The 22,759-nt window shown below is 38.7% G+C and overlaps 1 protein-coding gene across 58 annotated transcripts in view, besides 1 other annotated feature; it reads left to right on the plus strand.

Annotated features, from left to right (window-relative positions):
- SIPA1L1 (signal induced proliferation associated 1 like 1) overlaps positions 1-22,759 on the plus strand; it is a 420,734-nt gene that overhangs the window by 278,510 nt on the left and 119,465 nt on the right. For all 58 annotated transcript variants that reach the window (XM_047431217.1, XM_047431229.1, XM_047431218.1 and 55 more), the window contains one exon: positions 19,772-19,902. In XM_047431217.1, coding sequence (XP_047287173.1) covers positions 19,772-19,902 — 131 coding nt within the window. The remainder of the gene's footprint in view (positions 1-19,771; positions 19,903-22,759) is intronic.
- Positions 6,477-7,234: an enhancer, noted in NCBI's record as "H3K27ac-H3K4me1 hESC enhancer chr14:72072179-72072936 (GRCh37/hg19 assembly coordinates)". NCBI's record gives its function as "activates a minimal SCP1, AML or CMV promoter by ChIP-STARR-seq in primed H9 embryonic stem cells {active_cell/tissue: H9 hESC(primed)}" and the evidence as "EXISTENCE:reporter gene assay evidence [ECO:0000049][PMID:30033119]".

The following is a 22,759-nucleotide window of genomic DNA, read 5'->3' on the forward strand; positions in this document are numbered from 1 at the left end:
ATCTATCGTTACACTCTCTACCTCCATGAAATCAAGTCTTTTAGCTCCCACATGTGCCTGAAAACATGCAATATTTGTCTTTATGTGCCTTGCTTATTTCACTTAACATAATGATCTGCAGTTCCATCCATCCATGTTGCTGCAAATGACATGATTTCATTCTTTTTTTTTTTTTTTTTTTTGAGATGGAGTTTTGCACTTGTCTCCCAGGCTGGAGTGCAATGGCACGATTTCGGCTCACCACAACCTCTGCCTCCCAGGTTCAAGTGATTCTCCTGCCTCAGCCTCCCGAGTAGCTGGGATTACAGGCATGCGCCACCATGCCTGGCTAATTTTGTATTTTTAGTAGAGACGGGGTTTCTCCATGTTGATCAGGCTGGTCTCAACATGATCCAACCTCAAGTGATCCACCCGCCTCGGCCTCGCAAAGTGCTGAGATTACAGGCATGAGCCACCACGCTGGGCGATTTCATTCTTTTTTTTTTTTTTTTTTTAATCACCAAATAATGTTCTGTTGTGTATACATACCACATTTTCATCATTCATTCATTGATGGACATGTAGGTTGATTCCATATCTTTGCTATTGCAAATAGTTTTGCAATAAACACGTGAGTGTATGTATCCTTTTGATATGTTGATTTATTTTCCTTTGGATAAATACTCAGTAGTGATTGCTGGACTGTGTGGTAATTCTGTTTTTAGTTTTTTTCCATACTGTTTTCCATAGTGGCTGTATTAATCCATCAACAGTGTATGAGTTCCCTTTTCTCTGCATCTTCACCAACATCTGTTGTCTTTTTGTCTTTTTAATAATACCCATTCTAACTGGGATAAGATGATTATCTCATTGTGGTTTTGCTTTGCATTCCTCTGATAATTAGTGATGTTGAGCATTTTTTTTTATATACCTATTGGCCATATGTGTGTATTCTTTTCAGAAATGTTTATTCATACTTGTTTTAATAGGATTATTTGTTTTTTGTTTTTGTTTTACTGTTGAGTTCCTTGTGTATTCTGGATATTAGTCCCTTGTCAGATGAAGAATTTGGAAATATTTTACCCCATTAAACTCATGGTTTCTTCACTCTTTTGATTCTTTCTTATGCTGTACAAAAGCTTTTTACTTTAGTATAGTCCCATATGTCTATTCTTGTTTTCGTTGCCTGTGCTTTTCAGGTCTTAGCCATAAAGTCTTTGCCTAAACCAATGTCCTGGAGCATTTCTCCTTTGCCTTCTTCTAGTAGCCTTATAGTTTCAGGTCATATGTTTATTATGTCTTTAATCCATCTTCAGTTGATTTTGTATATAGCGAGAGACAGGATTGTAGAATTTTCCCAGCACCATTTATTGAAGAGGGGAAGAGGGTGTCCTTTCCCCATTGTGTGTTCTTGACACCTTTGTCAAAAATTAGTTGGCTGTAAATATATGAATTTTTCTGTATTCTGGATTCTGTTCCATTGGTCTTTGTGTCTGTTTTTAGACCAATGCCATGCTGTTTTGATTACTGTAGCATCGTAATATGTTTTAAAGTCAGGTAATATAATGTTTCCAGCTTCATTCTTTTTGCTCTGGATTGTTTCGTCTCTTCTGCCTCTTTTTTGGTTCCATATGAATTTTAGGATGTTTTTTCTATTTCTGCAAAGAATGACATTGATATTTTGAATGAGGATTTGCACTGAATCTGTAAAATGTTGTCATTTTAATGATAATAATTCTTCCAATCAATGGGCATGGGACATGTTTGTGTATTCTTCAATTTCGTTCAACAGTGTTTCGTAGTTTTCCTTATAGAGATCTTTTACAACTTTGGTTTAATTTATTCCTAGGTATTTTTCTTTTCTTGTTTTTTGTTTTTGTTTTTGTTTCTGTTGTAGATGGGATTGCCTTCTTGATTTCTTTCTCAACTAATTCGTTATTGGTGTAAAGGAACACTACTGAATTTTATGTTGATGTTGATTTTGTATAATGCAACTTTATTGAATTTAATGATCCAGATCTAAGATTTTTTTGGTGCAGACTTAAGTTTTTTCTAGATATAAGATTATATCATCAGCATAGAGGGACGGTTTGACTTCATCTTTTCCGATTTAGATGCCTTTTCTTTCTTTCTTTTACCTGATTGCTCTGGCTTGAACTTCCAATACTGTATTGGAGTGGTGAAAGTAGACATCCTTGTCTTGTTCCAATTCTTAGAGGAAAGGATTTCAGCTTTTCCCCATTCATTGTGATGTTAGCTGTGGGTTGGTCATATATGCCCTTTATGATGTTGAGGTCTGTTTCTTCTATGCCTAGTTTGTTGAGAGTTTTTATCATGAAGGGATGCAAAATTTTACCAAACAATTTTATGTGTATTGGGATGGTCATATGGTTTTTGTCCTCCATTCAGTTGATGTGATATGTCATACTTATTGAGTTGCATATTTTGAACCATCTTTGCATCTCTGAGATAAATCCCACTTGGTTATGGTGTATTATTTCTTTGGTGTGTTGTTGGATTCAGTTTGTTCATATTTTGTTGAACATTTTTGCATGTATGTTCATGTGGAATACTGACCTGCAGTTTTCTTTTTTTGTTGTGTCCTTATCTGGTTTTGGTATCAGGGTAATGCTGACCTCATAGAATGAGTTAGGTAGAATTCCATCTTCTTCAGTTTTTTGGAATACTTTGAGGAGAATTTGTATTCTTTATAAGTTTGATAGAATTCAACAGCAAAGCCATTGGGTTCTAGACTCTTCTTTATTGGGAGACTTTTTATTACTGCATGATCTTATAACTTGTTATTGTTTTCTTCAGATTTTCTACGTCTTCTGGATTTGATCTTGATAGGTTGTATGTGTCCAGGAACTCATCCATTTCCTGTACGTTTTTTAGTTTGTTAGTGCCTCTGATCTTTTGTATTTTTGTAGTTATCAGTTGTGATGTCTTTTTTTTCATTTCTGATTTTATTTTGGTCTTCTCCCTTTTTTTTTCTTGGTTATCCTACCAAGTGGTTTATTGATTGTATTTGTCTTTTCAAAAAAAACAACTTTTTATTTTGTAGATTTTTTTCTATTGTGTTTTTAGTCTCTATTTTGTTTAATTCTTCTGTGATCTGTTATTTCTTTCCTTCTACTAATTTTGGATTTGGTTTGTTCTTACTCTTCTAGTTTCTTGAGGTACACCATTAGATTGCTTATTTGAAATCTTTATTTTTGATGTGTTGCTCATTGTTATAAAATTATCACTTAACACTGTTTTTGCCATATCCCATCGGTTTTGTACATTGTTTTTTGGTTTTCATTTGCTTCAAGAAATTTCTTCATTTTCTTTTTAGTTTCTTCTTTGACCCAGTGGTCATTCAGGAGCATATTGTTTAATTTCTATTTATTTTTACAGTTTATAGAGTTTCTCTTATTATTGGTTTCTAGTTTTATTTCATTGTGGTCTCAGGAGATACTTGATATTATTTCAAGTTTTAAAGTTTTGTTGAGACTTATTTGGGTCCTAACATACAGTCTATCTTGGAGAATGTTCTATGTGCTGATGAAAAGAATGTGTATGCTGCAGCTACTGAATGAAATATATTCTGTAAATGTCTGTTATATCCATTTGGTCTAATGTGTAGCTTAAATTCAGTGTTTCTTTATTGATTTTCTGTCTGGATGATCTGTCTAAGGATGAGAGTAGGGTATTGAAGTCTCTAACTCAGGAGTCCCCAACCACTGGTCTGTGGCCTGTTAGGAACCAGGCTGCGCAGCAGGAGGTGAGCAGCAGGTGAGCCAGCATTATCACCTAAGCTCTGCCTCTAGTCAGAACAGCGTCGGCATTAAATTCTCATAGGAGCGCAAATGAACCCTACTGTGAACTGCACATGCGAGGGATCTAGGTTGTGCCCTCCTTATTAGAATCTAATGCCTGTCCCCTGTCCCCACCATCCATGGAAAAATTGTCTTCCATGAAACCTGTTCCTGGTGCCAAAAAGGTTGGGGACCACTGCTCTAACTATAATAGTATTGGAGTCTTTCTCTTTAAATCTAATAATGTTTTGTTTATGTATCTGGGTGCTCTGGTGGTGAGTGCAGATATGTTTAGAATTGTTACATCTTTTTGCTGAGTTGATCTATCTTATATAATGGCCTTCATTGTCTCTTACTTTGTTTGACTTAAAGTCTGTTTTATCTAAGTCTACCTATTCCTGCTCACTTTTGGTTTCCATTTCCATGGAATACCTTTTTTATCCTATTACTGTAGTTTGTATGTTTCTTCAGAGGTAAGATGAGTTTCTTGTGGATATTATATAGTTGGATCATATATATATTTTTTTTCAAATCAGCCGATCTATATCTTTTCTGTGGAAAATGTAATCTATTTACATTCAAGGTTATTATTTATAGGGGGGACATATTTCTGTCACTTTATTAATTGATTTCTAGTTATTTTATATATCGGTTTCTTTCTCATGTTATTTACCACTGTGATTTGGTGGTTTTCTTTTTTTTTCTTTCTTTTGAGACAGATGCTTACTCTGTTATTTAGGCCAGAGTACAGTGGTGTGATCATGGCCTACTGCAGCCTTGAACTCCCAGGCTTTAAGTGATCCTCCCACCTCAGCCTCCTGAATATCTAGGACTACAGGCATGTGCCACCATGCCTTACTAATTAAAAAGAAATATAGCCGGGCATAGTGGCCCACGCCTGTAATCCCAGCACTTTGGGAGGCCGAGGCGGGTGGATCACGAGGTCAGGAGTTCGAGACCAGCCTGGCCAAGATGGTGAGACCCCATCTCTGCTAAAAATACAAAAAAATCAGCCAGGCACGTGCGTGTAATCCCAGCTACTCAGGAGGCTGAGGCAGGAGAATCACTTGAACCTGGGAGGTGGAGGTTGCGGTGAGCCGAGATTGCACCACTGCACTCTAGCCTGGGCAACAGAGCAAGAGCAAGATATATATAAATATATATATATTTATATATCTATATATATTTATATATATTTATATATAGATATATTTATATATATTTATATATATATAAATTTTTTTTTTTTTGAGACAAAGTTTTGCTCTCTCAACCAGACTAGAGTGTAGAGGCCTGATCTCAGCTAACTGCAACCTCTTGCCTCCCAGGCTCAAGTGATCCTCCTGCCTCAGCCCCCTGAGTAGCTGGGACTATGGGCACATGCCACCACGCCTGGCTCACTTTTATATTTTTTTATAGAGATGAGGTTTCACCATGTTGCCCTGGCTGGTCTTGAACTCCTGAGCTCAAGCCATCTGCTCCAGCCTCCCACAGTGCTAGAACAATATAGGTTTGAGCAACTGCACCTGGCCTTAGCTAATTTTTTTAAAAATTTGTTTCTAGGGATGAAGTCTCACTATGTTGCCCAAGCTGGTCTCAAACTACTAGGTTCAAGCATTCTTTCTGCCTCAACCTCCCAGAGTGCTGGGATTACAGGTGGGAGCCACTGCACCTGGCCAAGTTTGGTGGATTTCTGGAGTGGTAACATTTTTGTGTGTTTTCATGTTGGTAGTAGTTATCATTCTTTCACTTCCAGGGCTAGGACTCACTTAAGCATTTTTTTTTAGCACTGAATTTAACACTAAAAAAAGATGAGTTATCTCAGCTTTTGCTTGTCTTGGAAAGACTCTTTTTCCTTCATTTATGAAGGATAACTGCTGAGTATAGTAGCCTTGGCTGACAGGTTTATTTATTTATTTTTTTTCTTTTTTTTCCCCAGCACTTCTAATATATCTTCCCATTCTCTACTGGCTTATAAGTTTTCTGCTTAGAATCCACTGTTAGTCTGATGGGGGTCCCTTTATAAGTGACTACACACTTTTCTCTTGCTATTTTTGTCTTTGGCTTTTGATGGTTTGACCAAAATGTGCTGTGGAGAAGACCCTTTTTTATTGTTTCTGTTTGGGGATCTGTAAGCTTCCTGTATCTGGATATCTAAATCTCTTGCTAGACTTGGAATGTTTTTATCTTATTATTTCATTAAATATATTTTCTAACCCTTTGATTTTCTTTTCACCTTCTGGGACTCTGAAAATTTGAATATTTGATTGCTTTATAATGTCTCATGTCACATAAGCTTTGCATTTTTTTATTCTTTTTTTGCAATTTTTGACTGACTATGTTATTTCAAAAGATCTGTCGTCAAGTACTGAGGTTCTTTTTTTTCTGCTTAATCTAGTCTATTGTTGTTGCTTTCAAATGTATTTTGTATTTCATTCAATGAATTCCTCACTTCTAATATTTCTGTTTGTTTCTTTTTATAATTTCTATCTCTTTGGTAAATTTCTCATTCATATTCTGATATATTTGTGTTGTTTTTCAGTATTTGGTTGTATTTCACTGAGCTTCATTAATCAACATTTTGAATTCTTTTTCTAGGATTTTGTATATTTCTTTTTGTTTGGGATCTGTTGCTGGAGACTTAATTCTATTCCTTTTAAGATGTCATATTTCTTAGTTTTTTCATGGTTTCTATGTCCTTACATTACTATGTACACATCTGATGTAACAGTTGCTTCTTGAAGTTTTTTGAGTTTACTTTCATGGGGACGGACTTTTTCTGAAAATGTATCTGTAGTGCTGATTGGGTAGGGCATTTTGACTTTGATTCTGGGTGCATGTAGTAGTATAGTCTCTGTATAATGTCTTTGTCTGTAAACAGCATAAGTTGTGTCTGTGATTTCCTCAATAACTTAGGGTACAGTTGTTAATGGAGGCTCTGCTGAACTTTTGCTGGTGCCTAGGAGGTGGGCCAATCGTCGAGTCCAGTGGTAGCAGTGTTGGACTGAGTCTGTGTGTGTCTGGGCCTCAGGGCAGCAAACACCAGCACTTGTGCCAGCAGGTCCTGGCAGGTTAATTCTGGGGCTACAGGTAGCTTGCTTGGATACCAGTAATGTTGGCAGTGGGCTGTACAGTTGTTGGAGTCCTGGGCCCTGGGAAGCAGGCATGATAGGGGTGATAGCAGTAACAGTAGTGGGATGACCCTCTGAGTTCTAAGTGGTGTGCACTGGTGTTGGCCATGGCTATGGTGGGCCGAGAAAGCTTGACCTCTGCCTCCTTGATGGCACATGAAACACTGGCTATGGTGGGCAGGGGCTGAGTTATCCCCAGACCCCTGGAAGATTGCTCAGGTGGGGATGGCAGTGGCTGCTCTGTGGCTGTGCTCCTGGGGGTGGCGGGATTGCTTTCAGTAGCAGCAGCCACATGCAGACGGGTGGAAAACATGCCCTTCCCTTGTGCTTCAGCCGCGGTGATGGCAGCCCACAACAAAGGCACCTGCAGGCCGTGAAGTCTGTCTGGGCATGTGAAAATGGGTGATCTTCCTCTGCTGGAGGAAGGGGGTTTGCTGCCAGGTGGCCCATGCTTCAGCCCTGGTGGTAGCAGTTTGCTGTGGCAGTGGCTGCATATAGGGGATGTTGGTGGGGTTCCAGGAATGTGGAGATGCAAGTGCTGTTGATCCCTAGGGCAGGGTGCAGTCTTTTTGGGACTAGGCTGTCAAAATGGTGTCATTATGCATGCTGTAGCTGCGTAGGACTCAGGAGGGTATGTTGGACCAATTGTGGGCTTCGTCCTGAGCACTGCCCTGGCACGGTTTCCAGGCATCTCCTTATGTTTGTTTCAGGGCCTGCAAGGGTCATGGGGCTCTTCCATAGCTAGGATTACAGGAGTGAGTCCACAATGGAAATGTGGCTCGTGGGGGATCTCTCACTTACCCTGCACTAGGGAGTCTCTCCACGCTCCCAACCGGTCCCAACCAAGCAGGTTCAATTTCCTGGTTTTGACAATGATTATTGTACTGTATGTCGTTATGTAAGATGTTAGCACTGGGGGAGTCTGGGTGAGCAATACGGAAATAACCTGTACTATTTTTGTAACTTTTCTCTGAGTCTAAAAGGAGTCCAGATAAAAAGTTAAAACTTTTTATTTTTTTCAGGCAGAAGAAAAAAATAAAAACAAATAAAAACCTTCATATACAGTCATATACATGCATAAACACAGGAACCATAGAAGATGTGACACCAAAAGATTGGCTAGATGATTGAAGCTTAAATAGCACCTCCTTCATAGTGTAGAGGGAATTGGGGGATGTAGGCAATTGTGAGGGTAGTAAATGATTTTCAGGGGGAATGAATGAGCCCAAAGAATAGATAATGTCCTGGAACAAAGCTTCTCCGAGTTCCAGGGGGAGGTGACAGGAAGGTGAGGGGCAGAACTTCACTATGAACAATGGTGGTTTTAATTTGCAGATAAACTTGCCCAGGTAATTTCCAGGGACTGCCCTCGGCATAATAGATGAAAAGCCTGCATGGTGTGGTGACTATTAGTGTTTTCTCTTTTAACGTTTTTGCAACTGTGTTTCAATATGCTTGGTGTTTTGCTTTGTATTTTTATTCCATGCACTTTAAAACATTACTCTGGCCAGGGGGCAGTGGCTTACTAATACCAATGCTTTTGGAGGCAAGGTGGGAGAACTGCTTGAGCCCAGGAGTTCAAGACCAGCCTGAGCAACATAGTGAGACACCATCACTACAGAAAATTGGCCTGTGATTTCAAGTGGTTAATCTTTCCTGGTTATCTGATGTGATTCCTAGGGAGGGAGTTTTAAGACAGTGCCACTTCTTTTGGTAAGAAGTTTCCTCAGTCAGATAAGGAAATTCCAGAGTCCCTCCCTTTGCTTTCAGGGGAGAAACTAGAGAAGATTTAGAAGGTCCTTGGTTCTGAGACAGCTTCTAAGACTTTTCAGTTTCTTTAATTAAAAAGTGCCCAGCATGCAAAAGCACCATACTTTGGGGTATTGTTATCTGTGCCCCAACACCATCCACATAAAAAGATCAAAGTAACTACCTTGCTTGCTGATTTCCATATTCCAGTGAGTTTCTGTGCTCTTTGTTTGGCATTCTCGAAACAAAGGGCCTTTTAGATCTGTTCTTTCAGTACAAGTTGATGACACACATAATCAAACTTGCCACCTATTTCCCAAATGTATACCTCATTATATCTTCAGTGAGACCCTCATTCTGAGCCCTGAAATTAGGTGCTCAAAAAAAATTTTGCTTTATTGCATCAATTCCTTTTCCAGTCTTCTAATGGAGCTCCCTCCTCTGTATGGTGAGCCCATTAATGTGAGCATCAAGGCAATGAGAGGAGACATCTTCCTATTTGCATTCAAGTCAAGTCTGAGAGAAGCATGAGCAGAAGCCATCTCTAGGACTCATGTGAACATTTAGTCAACAAAGAGGTAGATTTTGCTAAGTGTTTGGGACACTGCATGGTCCCTGTCCTTGTTAGCGGTAGTGACTTCTGCCTTAACTGAATTTCTGGCTACCTGTTAGAGACTTCCCCCTAAATCCTTCAATAGCCTTTTCCATAGGAAGACATCTTGCTGCAATATCCCTGGTAAGGAGGTATGAAGGGTGCTTTAAATATAAGGAAATTCATTTACATACAAGTGTTTCATTGTAATTTCTTTCATTTAGATGTTAATTTTTTTTCCTAAGCTAATGTTTGAATTGGTATTAACATTAAAAATAAAAAGTTGCATTAATATGCAACTTTTAAACATACTCTTTATAGTCATTGACCATTTGCAAACCAAATGCATTTTTTATACTTAAAAAAAAGAAATCTTCTGGCCAGGCACGGTGGCTCATGTCTGTAGTCCCAGCACTTTGGGAGGCCGAGGCAGGCAGATCACGAGGTCAGGGGTTCGAGACCAGCCTGACCAACGTGGTGAAACCCCGTCTCTACTAAAAATACAGAGGTAAGCCGGGCGTGGTGGTGCATGCCTGTAATCCCAGCTACTTAGGAGGCTGAAGCAGAGGAATTGCTTGAACCTGGGAGTTGGAGGTTGCAGTGAGCCATCGTGCCACTGCATTCCAGCCTGGGTGACAAAGCGAGACTCTGTCTCAAAAAACAAAACAAAACAAAAACAAACAAAAAACTTCCAATTATAAAAGTTATATATGTATATCATTATAGAAAAAATAGAAACTATAGAAAATAAATTTTTGGGAATGCTATTGATTTTATTTCTGCCCCATCAGTCTTAATACATGCATACTCCTTTTTAAAATAAATAAGGAGTCTTAAATACAGTTGTATATTTTTGTCCTGCTTCTATATTGGGCCATGCCATCTCTTATTTAAAGTTTTTCAGCTGTTTTTTCCAATTCTTGTTATAATAAATAATGCTTACATTAGCTGGTCTTAATTTTTTGTTGTTGTTGCCCCATTGATCCCAATAACAGTTTAGTGAAGCCTACGAACTCTCCTTGGAATAAATTTTTATTTATTTACCTATTTGAGACTGGGTCTTGCTCTGTCACCCAGGCTGGAGTGTAGTGGCATAATCACAGCTCACTGCCACCTTGATCTCCTGGGTTCAAGTGCTCATCACACCTCATCCTCCCAAATGACTGGGACTACAGGTGTGCACCACTGTGCCCAGCTAATATTTTATTTATTTATTTATTTATTTATTTATTTATTTATTTATTTATTGAGATGGAGTCTTGCTCTGTTGCCCAGGCTGGAGTGCAGTGGGGTGATCTCAGCTCACTGCCACCTCCGCCTCCTGGGTTCAAGTGATTCTCCTGCCTCAGCCTCTCAAGTAGCTGGGATTACAGGTGCACACCACCATGCCCAGCTAGTTTTTGAATTTTTAGTGGAGAAGGGGTTTCACCATGTTGGCCAGGATGGTCTGCAACTCCTGACCTCAAGCAATCCATCCACCTCGGCCTCCCAAAGTGTTCGGATTACAGGCATGAGCCACCGCGCCTGGCCAATTCTTTGTAGTGATGGTGTCTCACTGTTGCTCAGGCTGGTCTTGAACTCCTAGGCTCAAGCAGTCCTCCTACCTTGACCTTGATTAGTAAGCCACTTCCCCTGCGCCCCCCACCCCACCCTGCCCTGCCAGAATAATATTTTAAAGTGCATGGAGTAAAAATACAAAGCAAACCAAGCATATATTGAAGCACAGTTGCAGAAGTGTTAAAATTTTGAGATATAGTAATGGACGTGCTTCTTTCTTATTTCATGAAAAAAAGACCTGGCAGCAGCTCTGTTAATTACCATCATTTCAAAGTAGGGGTGAGTGTAGTTAATATTCTGATATGTCTGCAACAACTTTAATGTAATATTAAACTGTGATTTCTATTGGTGTCAAAGTCACATGTACAACTAATATTGTTTGTTGTCTGCATTTATAATTGATGAAAACACTAAATTTCAGTTAGAAGTTAGTAAAAATAAAGATGCATTTTTTTCAGTCAAGTTTATAGACCCCCTAATTTCTGTTCCTAGCCACAGCCTTGTAATATAAGTTTTTTCCACATATCTAATTATTTCCATAAGGTGGAGCCCTGTAAATGAAATGTGAGCCTTGATTTTTATTGCCAAATTGCTCTTAAGAAAGCTTAGACCAGAAAGATCCACTGGTGTGTTTAAGACTTGTAGTTTAACATTCTCTTAACTACTATGAATATTTACAGTTTATATTTTTGAACATTTATTAAAGACCAACAAAAGACATTTTGTTTCTTTGATCACTAGTGAGTTTCAGTTTTTAAAAATATAACTATTGGCCATTTGTCATAGACTGATAGCAACCAATAAAAAATCTCTCATGATTCTGCTAATCTTCATCCTCTCTTTATTTAAAAATAATTTTTTTATGTACAGAAAAGTTGGAATGTATGTCCTTTTGTTTTAAATAGGGTTTTCTTTGTATTTTTTTCTTTAATCATTTAGATGCAATTTATTAATATCAACATAACTTCATACTAAAGTTTGCCTTTTACTGAAAAATTAGAGGCCTATTAGGTGCTACTTTAGATACTGTTTTAAACCCCCAAATTCCATGTAATCTTGGCAAATACATCACCCCACTTTTTAAGTGTTACCTATGGGAAGAAGAAATGGAATGTCAGAGTACTATGCAGTTTGTAAATGTGAGCAATTACTCTTAGGCAACAGTAATTATAAGCTTAGTGCCATGCTTTGGGACAGAATTCTGGCATGTGGCCAGTCCTGTTTAAATGTCCCCATCCATTACTCTGACCTGCTTTTGATTATGGTGCGAAGTCCTAGGCTGTTTAGTTCTCATGGAACCTCCACCCTTAAAATTAGGATGAGCCCTTTGAGGACCAGAAACTGAGAATCTGAGTGGTGCACTTCCCAGGAGAGCCATTCTTTAAACAGTTGGCCTCTTATTATGTCCACTTTGGCAGACCTGTGTTTCCTTTTAACAAGATAATAAATTTCTTTATTTTTAACATTGAATTCTCCAATCCTTTAGCTCTGTCCTCTCTTTCTTAGTCATTAGTCAGATTAAGATGTAAGAAGTTGGACAAAAACAAAACCTGAAAAATTTGAACAGTGAGTTTTTTTCCTAGTTGTTATTTTAATTTAATTTAATTTAATTTAATGTTATGTTATGTTCTAGGATACATGTGCAGGACGTGCAGGTTTGTTACATAGGTGTACATGTGCCATGGTGGTTTGCTGCATCTATCAACCTGTCATCTAGGTTTTAAGCCCCATATGCATTAGATATTTGTCCTAATCCTCCCCTTGACCCCCACCCCCTGACAGGCCCCAGTGCGTGATATTCCCCTCCCTGTGTCCATGTTCTCATTGTTCACCTCCCACTTATGAGTAAGAACATGCGATGTTTGGTTTTCTGTTACTGTGTTAGTTTGCTGAGAATGATGGCTTCCAGCTTCATCCATGTCCCTGCAAAGGACATGACTCACTCTTTTTTATGACTACATAGTATTCCATGGTTTATATGTGCCACATTTTCTTTATCCAGTCTATCAGTGATGGGCATTTGGGTTGGTTCCAAGTCTTTGCTATTGTAAATACTGCTGCAATAAACATATGTGTGCATGTGTATGTCTAATGAAAATATTAAACTGATGAAAACATTGAGGGTGAAATTTTATGTTGTTAACTGTACTGATGGTGGCACACATGTAACCAACCAAGTCGACTATTTAAAAAAAAATAGTTTAAATGTTAAAAATGGTGAAATAATTTTAATTTAAGCTATTGAAGTGTCACTGTTCCATTCTTTGACCTGCTGATATATGATGAAGCCCAAGTCTGTCTGCTTATTACTTGTATATTTAGCATCCCCATTATACATTGACTTATGGTGTTTTTTTCTTGGGAAAAATGGAAAAGATTTTATTTTTCTTTCTGTATGATCAATTAGGGTAATTCTAAGATTTGGATGTGAACATTTTTGTGACTTTAACATATCTTGCCGTGTTGCTTTCAAAAGCAGTTGATACCAATCCACAGTGCCACCAGCAATATATGAATATATTACGTCTCTACCAAGGGCTGGTTTTTTATTTCAGAAACATTGTTTTTTATATTGGGTTAGGCATGAGATAGTAGCTAAGTTTTATTTGCTTTGTGTTTCTTTGATTCATGTTTATGATGTCTATTTTTTCTATTAAACAATTTAAATTAACTATTGTAAACATGTTTCAAGCAATAAATTATAACTTTACAGATTACTTGTAAAACTATATTTTTACTGTTCATAATTACATTCAGTTCAGATTATGCTATAGATGTCCTCAGGGAAGTATGCAACTGAAATATTAATACATAGCCTGCAGATACCATGATAACCAGTGCAAGTGACAAAAAATTGATAGTTAAAGCCCTGTAACTCTTGTAATTGTAGTTTCCTTTCCCCTTCACAAGTAAAACACCAAGCTTAACTTTCTTTGCCTTGTACACACATGCTTATATATCTTATAATCAGGTGATTGGACTGTACCTGATCTAATTACTTTGAGCTTTGAACTATTCGCTGTTTCCCCTCACTAAGAATGTGAAATTTTTATTATAATCATTATTGTGAAAGTATCAACCAAAAATAAAACTATTTACCTGGAATATTTTAATGATGACATAATTATTTATTGTTACTCTTTGTACCATCCTGGTTAAAACTCAAGAACCAGAACTAATAAGAAAACTTCACACTAAACATTTAAATGTGAGGAATGGAGTAGGTGGAAGGAAGTCAACCGTATATGGATATAATGTTAATCTCTCCCCCTTTCAACAAAACCTTAGCTAAACAGCACATCAAGAAATAAAGCATTATGTCTCGTCTGACTAGATAAATAGTTTATTCCTTTAGGAACCAAGTTTTATTTAATGATTTTTTTATTCATAATAAAATTTTAGAAACTTATGGGAACATAATATTGTGTGTAATGGCTAAGTAAATGAGCTGATTAATTAACATTAAATCAGCAGTTAATATGTTTAAATCTGGTACTGCTATATACTACTTCTGACTAAGTGACTTATCTTCTTTAAATCAAAGTTGCCACATGTATAAAAAAGAAGGAAGTACCTTTTTTTTTTTTTGGTTGATATGATTATTAGAGTACTTGGCAAAATGCTTTGCTTTGCTGCATTATATCATTCTAATATGGTGATTGCTGTATTGGTTTTTGGCATCCCGGTATGCTGGCTCTAAAATATTCTAATTTCTGGTGGTTTAATACCTGTATTTCAGTTCATCCATCAGAAGCTTTATCCACTCTACTTGAGTTTCCAATTCCTCTTCCCTTCCCCTGACTTTTCTCATCCTGAATTTGCTCATCGAAGTCTTCCTTGCCTTTCTTTGACACACTTCATCTGTAACTCCCTCATCCTTACTCCCCTTCCCTGCTAAACTTTTCACTTCAGAAGAAAGAGAAAGACAGTTGTGGATTTGACTAGAAGAACACTTTGTAATTATGGATATCTTCACTAGCAAACAATGGAAGTCGATGGCTGATAGGAAAACAAATTTAAAGTGCTACATCACAGAGCAAGTGTAGACATACTGCCCGGGGACTAGGGGCCTGAAGGAAGGAGGAGACTGCAGTCCAGTATCTTCTAGCTTAGATCTCAAAATTGTAGGCATGTGTGGTGGCTCATGTCTGTTATCCTAGCACTTTGGGAAGCTGAGGTGGGAAGATCACCTGAGGTCAGGAGTTTGAGACCAGCCTGGCCAATGTGGTGAAACCTCTACTAAAAAAAATAGAAAAATTAGCTAGGCGTGGTGGCACGTGCCTGTAGTCCCAGCTACTCAGGAGGCTGAGGCAGGAGAATTGCTTGAACAATTGAACTCCTTTTAACCCAGGAGGCGGAGGTTGCAGTGGGCCAAGATCATGCCACGGCACTCCAGTCTGGGCCACAGAGCAAGACGCTGTCTCCAAAAAAAAAAAAAACAAAAACCTGAAAATTGTGATGCATGGTGATTTGCTGAATGAAATGCTCCTGTACCAGAGGGTTAAATTTAAATAGTACATTAGGATTTTGAATAGAATAAACTTATGTTCATATGGAAAGAGTTTTTTCTATACTTCTGTAATCCTTAAGAGAAAAAAAAGACAGTGGACCAAAACAGAGCTTTTATTGTAAAAATAATTTTTTTTCAAGTTCAAAGACTTTTTGAAAAAGTAGAGTCTGGTGATGATAGTGGTGAATTTAGCATGGGAAATTGGACCGGAGTCTCCATCCATACCAATGGAACCGATACTGATGAAGACTGGCTGGAAAAGCTATTTGGGAAATAATAGCAAGAGCTCTTTTTTAATGAAAAAACTTGACACAAGTTCAAAAATATCTTCCTAGCGTTATCTAACCAGAGATGAGTTTGTTTAAAGCTAGAGTATGAAGAAAGTGTTGGAATTTAGTTTATAATTATCCCATCACCATTCCCCAAATTCAGAAATATACTTCATTAGCAGCTGGGAAAAGTTACAAAAAAATGTAGTCAGGTTTTGATAATGACACACCAAAAGTTTGAATTATCATTAATTTTACAGTTTTTATTATTAACAAAGTAACCTTATTAACACAATTTGTATTTTGTCTACCAGTAATACTAAAATGATTGTTTAATATTTTTAGTTTATAAATTTATATTTTATTTACATTTTTGTAATGTTTCTATTTTTGTTCTTGAGATATATTAAATATTTGGTTTTAATAATTTGTGTTGTTATGAATTCATAACACTTTAAAATAAAGTTATTGGTATCAATATCCAAAGTAAACACTTTTATTTTCTTCCAGTATTCAGTCCCTCTTTTCAAAGATGTCTATGTCATACTTCGGATGAGACCTAAAAATTAGAGGACTTAGACAAATAAAGAGGGGTTATGGAAAGAATGTTCTCAGCAGATTTTTTTCAGATGATAAAAGACTGTGAGTTTGAGCACCTGAAAGAGAAGTTTAGTATCATTGGTTTTCAAAATTTAAGAGGGTGAAAGGTGTGAGCTGAGGCTGGAGTGATTGACAGTGACAGGTTATGAGAACCTTTGGGTAACCATGAAAAGGGTACAAGAACCTAAGTGTTTTAAGTTTCGTAGTAGTTGGTCAGATTTGCATTTTAGAAGGGTCATCTGGCAGGGTGAATTAAGTTGGATAAAAACAAACCAGTTAGAAGACTACTACAAACACTCAGGCAAGTGATGATAGGATAAATCAGTGGCAGTCGGATGAGAAAAGATGGATTTGAGAGATGTCCAGAAGCTGGAATTCACAGAGTATGGCAGTGGGCCTGGCATGAGCAACTGGGTGAATGTGGTAGCAGTTGCTGAAATAGGGACTGGACGGGGAGCTATATAGGTTTCTGTGGGAAGGTGATAGGTTCACTTTTGCAGATGTGCGTGGGACAAACGGTTCCATTAGGTAAATATAAAGAGCTCAGGCTTTGGCCCGGCACAGTGGCTCAGGCCTGTAATCCCAGCACTTTGGGAGGCCAAGGCGGGCAGATCACTTGAGGTCAGGAGTTCGAGACCAGCCTGACCAACCATCTCTACAAAAAATATAAAAAATTAGCCGGGCATGATGGTGCACACCTGTAATCCCAGCTACTCTGAAGGCTGAGGCAAGAGAATCGCTTGAACCCAGGAGGCAGAGGTTGCAGTGAGCCAAGATCACACCACTGCACTCCAGTGTAGGTGACAGAGTGAGACTCTGTCTCAAAACAAACACATAAACAACAACAAAACCAAAAAAAGGTCTCAGGCTTAGAGATGTCTGGAGAGGACATGTAGACCTCTGAGAGTCGTCAACATTGAGGTGGCAGTTGAAGTTCTGAAAGCAGGTGGATTATTCAGATGGGAAGAGGGAGGAAAACTGAGCTAGAACAGCCAGAGCGGTAGAAGGAAAATCAGAAGAGGGTGATGTCATAGGAACAAGGAAGTAAGAGTGTTTCTAGAAGACATGAAGTGATCATCTATGCTAGATGTTATGGAGAGTTTGAGCCAGGGAAGGACCAAAAGTACCATTTGTTTTAACTTTGAGAAAGTCATTGGTGACCCATGCAGTGGAAGTCAGATGATAATTCTGAAGTGAGGAATTGGACAGCTATTTCAAGAAGTTTCCAATGGAAGAAAGGAAAGAGGAGATAATTCTTTAGTTCTGACAGGTCGTAAGGAGTTGAGAATAAATGTGAGTTTACGGTAATTAAAGGATGATGGGAATTAGCAAGTCTAGAGGGAGAAGTTGAAGATAAAAAAAGAGGGTCATCAAGGTACCTGAGTCCCTAGGAAGGAGGAATGGGCAAATGGGTGGGGGTGGGGCTTTGGATCATACAGAAAAAGAAGCTAGAGTGTGGATGCTGGTGAATTTGTGTGGATGGTGATTAGGTTTGCATCTGAAATGGCTTCTTTATTTCCTTTGTGTTGTAGACACATTGTCATTTGCCAAAATTGAGGAGAAGGTAGATGAGGAGTGGTTACCAGAGAATAGAGCATGTTTGCCACATCTGCCCTGGAGAAACGGAGAGAGTTGCTGACCAGGGAAAGCTTGAGGATGAGGATGAATTGAGGTTATTGGTGATGAATTTATAGTGGCCCTATATCTGGGAATTTCTCCAGCAGCAGAGAACTGCCATGCCACCTGCCCATTGTGAGATATGTGGGGTGTACTTGAGGGGTTCCTAGAAGTTGGTTTTTATTAGAGTCCATGAAGTACGAGGACCAGGTAATGAGTGTGACTCACACTCTGATGCATCTACTGTTGATCTGTGCTGCAGCGGTACAATATCCTCTGAGGGTATCAAAGCATGTTAAGCTCTTTGCTCCTTCAGTAAATGGCCCCAGACTGCTGTCTTGTTTCTCTTTAAGTTCTTGTCTGCCTTTTTGTACTATTTCTGTCTCCTCCCTTTCTGTTTTCTTCCTTGTTGTCAGTTGTTCTATCACATTGCTGTCTGCATGCAAGTCTGTATCAGCCCTACACCCTGGACTTTGTCAACACCTGGAATTATCACACCTCTGAAATAAAGCTGTGAGCTTGAAGACCAGACAACCAAGCTTATTAGAATTGTGTGCAAAGTAAGAGTAAATAATCTGAGTGTGTTTCTCATGTGCTGTGCTTTGAGGATATGCATAAGTGTCTGTACATGAATTTTGTGACATTTAGTGGGTTATTTCTTATATATGAGATGTTTGTTGCTTGTATTCCCATTGTGTTTTTCTTCTTTTGAATTTCCATGGCTTATGATAATAGTCTTAGAGAGCCCTCAACATTTATGATTGTAGCTTTTGTAATTGTGCTTTAGTACCTGCAAAGTATTTTCATATGCATTACTTAAATTTTAAACTACATGATTCGATATTTATGCTATTTTTTCTTATTATTCTCATGGATTTTCAAATACTTATATTTTGTATGGAAATAACATGTATTTTCAAATGTGTATGCATTTTGTGTGATAATGAGATATTATGTCACAATCCAGTCATTTAGCCGTGTCAGATATAAATGAAATACAATAATGTATAAATGAAATACAGTAATGTAAAGTAAGCATTTTGGAGGTTTGAAAAACAAATTATCTGTTCCAGTTTTTCATATATTTTCATGTTTTGTGGACTTCCTCATCTGTGAACATCTCATGTATGTATCAACAGTTTAAATTTTTAAAAGATGTATATGCACAGTAAATATCACTTTTCAACATTTTCTATAAATTAACTTAATTTTGATCCCTATCTTTCTTTTTGCAAGAGAAAGGTAAATTCAGCGCCAGTCCTTTGGAGGCTTGTGCTAAGGTTTGGGGCCTTAGGCAAAAGGCCAGAACATTGAAGAGAGGCCCTAGGCTCATCGGTCACCTGGACACACAAGTTACATTAGCCCTGCACTGTGGGATACCGTGCTATGGCCCAGAGCCCTGGGTCCTGCCTCCCTGGGGCACTGTGAAGCTCTTTCCTCTGAGCTCCTACTCCACCATACACAGGCCACCTGGGAGCAGAGTGCTGCCCAGAGACTCGCAGCACACATCTCTCTCTCCAATCCAGGGACATCTTTTTTAATCTGGTGGAATCCCCCTTTCTTCAAACTCTGTTCTCAATATGTTTAGAATGTTTTTGAAAAACAAAAACTAAAAAGCCCTGGCACAAGCCTTCTCTTAGGCAAGGAAGTGTGCACAAATGTAGCCTATTTAAATGGTGGGAGATAGGGAGAAAATACAAATTTATTTTGAGAAATAGTAGAGTAGTAATCTGTAGAGTAGTAAAAAACTCAACAGGCCACCCGTGTTCAGTGTTATCTTCTCTGGAACTAAACCTGTGTAGCCAAGTCTTTGTTTTTATAACTAACTGAAGAATATTAATATTTGTTAAATGTTTACATTTTATTGATAAAATTTCTGAGTGACAACCTTAAATACTGAGCAGAATGTAACATTTTCAAAGTGTTAGGTAGATTTTCTAACTTTGTTTTGTCTTATTTTACCTAAGAACACTGGAACTATTTTGGGGCTGATGAGAATCTTGGTCCAGTGGCTGTGAGCATTCGAAGGGAAAAACCAGATGAAATGAAAGAAAATGGATCTCCGTACAACTACCGAATAATTTTTAGAACTAGTGAGGTAAGTCGCAAATGAGAGAGGTTTGAGGTTTAACTGAAATGGGGAAGAAAGCAAATAGTAGCAGTAGCAAAGCAATTAAATTTAATAGCACATGGTTACAGCTGTCTTTGGAGTAAGCAAAGTCCCCTTTCATTTATTCTGGTGGAGATCGAGGTGGACAAGATGGTTAGATCTGGACCTCTTCTTTTCATCAGACTCTGAATAGATGCAGTCTATGAATGAGGAGTTTTGATTCAGAGAAAGATATGTCCATTAAGTGTGGCCCAAGGAAATTGGAGCCCTCAGATCCCCACTGGGATATTGTGTATCCTGCTTAGGGCTACTGGAAAGCGCCAAGCCAACTTGAGGAGCCAGGATATTAGATATAAGAGAAGGCCACTGAAGACTTAATTCACTCTTCCAAGCTCTTGCTGAGCTCATGTCTTCGCCCAAGAAGAAGGAGGGAAAGAGATTCTTGACTTCTTCCACTATCTTTGGGACCCATTGTCTGAGACCTAGAAGGTACATTCTTTGAACCAGGGGCTATCTAATTGTAAGTGAAACAGGCTGTTAGAGCTCTTTAGGAATCTAAATATACACAATGTATGAGTTTTTTATTTTAAAATGAAGTTTGGGCTAAAAAAAAAAGACATGGAAAAATAAAAAGAACCCACACAGCATTTTTTTTTTAAAACACCTATGAACAAGTTTGGGACTATGAGGTTCTCCTTTTTCTTTGTAAACTTGTATAATTGGGCCACTTATCGATTTATTGCCTCTCAGTTGCTAATTCACTTTAGGATTTTTGTTATGCATTAATACTTAATACCCTTGAGTCATCTAGAAAATAATGGTTTTGAAACTAGTTTAAATAGGGCATTTGGCTTCATTTCCCCCATTGAATGCAAAGCAAGTTTCCGGGGTTGGCATCATTTAGTAATAGTTCCTAAGCCTGAACTCCGGGGAAATTAAATATAGGACTTTTAAAGACAAGACTTAAATATCTAATGTGTTGTCTACACTGGCCAGAGAGAAATGAACTAACATACTCTCATGTGCTTTTTCTCCATGGCAAAGCTAATCATTAAGTGGTGTAAATTATTTTTTTGAGCACAAAGGCACGAAGAACGTCATGTTCTGTGTTTTGGACTTGTATGCAGGTAGTTGCTCCTCTCTAGCTTCCCAGATCCTAACAGTTTAGTTTGTTTGTTTGTTTGTTTTTGAGACAGAGTTTCACTCGTTACCCAGGCTAGAGTGCAATGGCGCGATCTTGGCTCACCGCAACCTTTGTCTCCTGGGTTCAAGTGATTCTCCTGCCTCAGCCTCCCGAGTAGCTGGGATTACAGGCATGCGCCACCATGCCCAGCTAATTTTGTATTTTTAGTAGAGACGAGGTTTCTCCATGTTGGTCTGGCTGGTCTCGAACTCCCGACCTCAGGTGATCCACCCGCCTCGGCCTCCCAAAGTGCTGGGATTACAGGCGTGAGCCACCACACCTGGCCGTTCCTACCAGTTTTTAGTGATACTCTCTTATCTTACTTCCAAGTATTTTTGTCTTTCGCATTCTCTTCTTTTTCCCTTCCCAAGGCCACTCTGATTTAAATACCCATCATATTCTTCCTTTTCTGTGTTGTTTTTTTGTCCACCTAAATTCATTTCCTTATCACTTGTTCATCCTATCCTTCATGCCAGAGGTTAAAGTTTCCTATGATTCTTTCTGAGTCAGATCCTGTCACTGGTTTCCATGAGCTTCCCTTCTCAGCAGATCCTGTCACTGGTTTCCACGAGCTTCCCTTCTCAGCATGTCTTGCAGGCTCTCCACATCTGATCCCAGCCCCTGTCTCCTACCTATCTGTCCTAAATTCTGCTCTGGTCTGTGAACCACACCAACTCTTACCTTTCCCACCTCTTTTCTTTCTGCTTTACTCCCTTGACCCGAAATGTTCTACTTGAATTCTGTAGTCATAAGATTCTCTTCTTCTCCAGCTAAGCCATTTGAATAAGCTGTGTCCCTTGGGTCTGTTTCCTTAGCCTTTGACTGAAAGGTTCAAGTCAAGTGTTCAAAAAAACCATTACCACTTGTTTTTTACGTTCAAATTAATGTTCACTTTATGACAACTCTATTACTGTATTTTCTCAGGCCAGAAACCATTAAAGCCACACTTTATTCCCATCTTCTCCCTCCTGCCCCTGAGATCTGGTCTGTCAGCAACACTTGTTCATTTTGTCTTCACAATATGCCCAGAGCTCAACTACTTCTCCCACCCTCACTACCCAGTCCTGGTCCTGGTCTTGCTCTGAGAACTGTTCTCCCTGCTTCTATGCTGAAGCCCTGCCTCCTTTTGACCCAACAGGGTTCCTTTGAAATGTCATTCCAGATCTTGCCATTGCTCAGTTCGAAATCCTTGAAAGCTTCCTCATCTCCCTCTGAGAAACAGCCACTGTCTTTGCTAGCCTAGGAGACCATGCTCTTCTGTTTCCCGGTTATCTCTCTGCGCCTCATCCCTGATAACTCCTCCTGGCTCAGTCTTTTCCTGCCACACTGGCCTCCTTCCTACCTGGGCCACCTCAGGACACCTCTGCCTCAGGGCTCAGATGCCCGTCATTCCTCCCCACTGCTGTGTTCTGCATCAGGCTGCCTCATCTCCATTTGGCCTTTACTCAGAAACCACAGAGGCCTTCCTTGACCGCTGAATCTAAAATTTCTATTCCCCTCCCATTTCATATCCAATTCAGTGCTTTATTTTTCATTAATACTTAACACTGTCTTCTCTGTTATACTTAGTCATTTTGTTTGCTTTTAATCTCTCCCACTAGAATGCAGGCCCCAGGAGGGTGGGGGCTTCTGTCCGAGTTGTTCAGTACAACGTGCCCGATT

Source organism: Homo sapiens, chromosome 14 (genome assembly GCF_000001405.40).
Source record: "Homo sapiens chromosome 14, GRCh38.p14 Primary Assembly".
Taxonomy (NCBI): domain Eukaryota; kingdom Metazoa; phylum Chordata; class Mammalia; order Primates; family Hominidae; genus Homo; species Homo sapiens.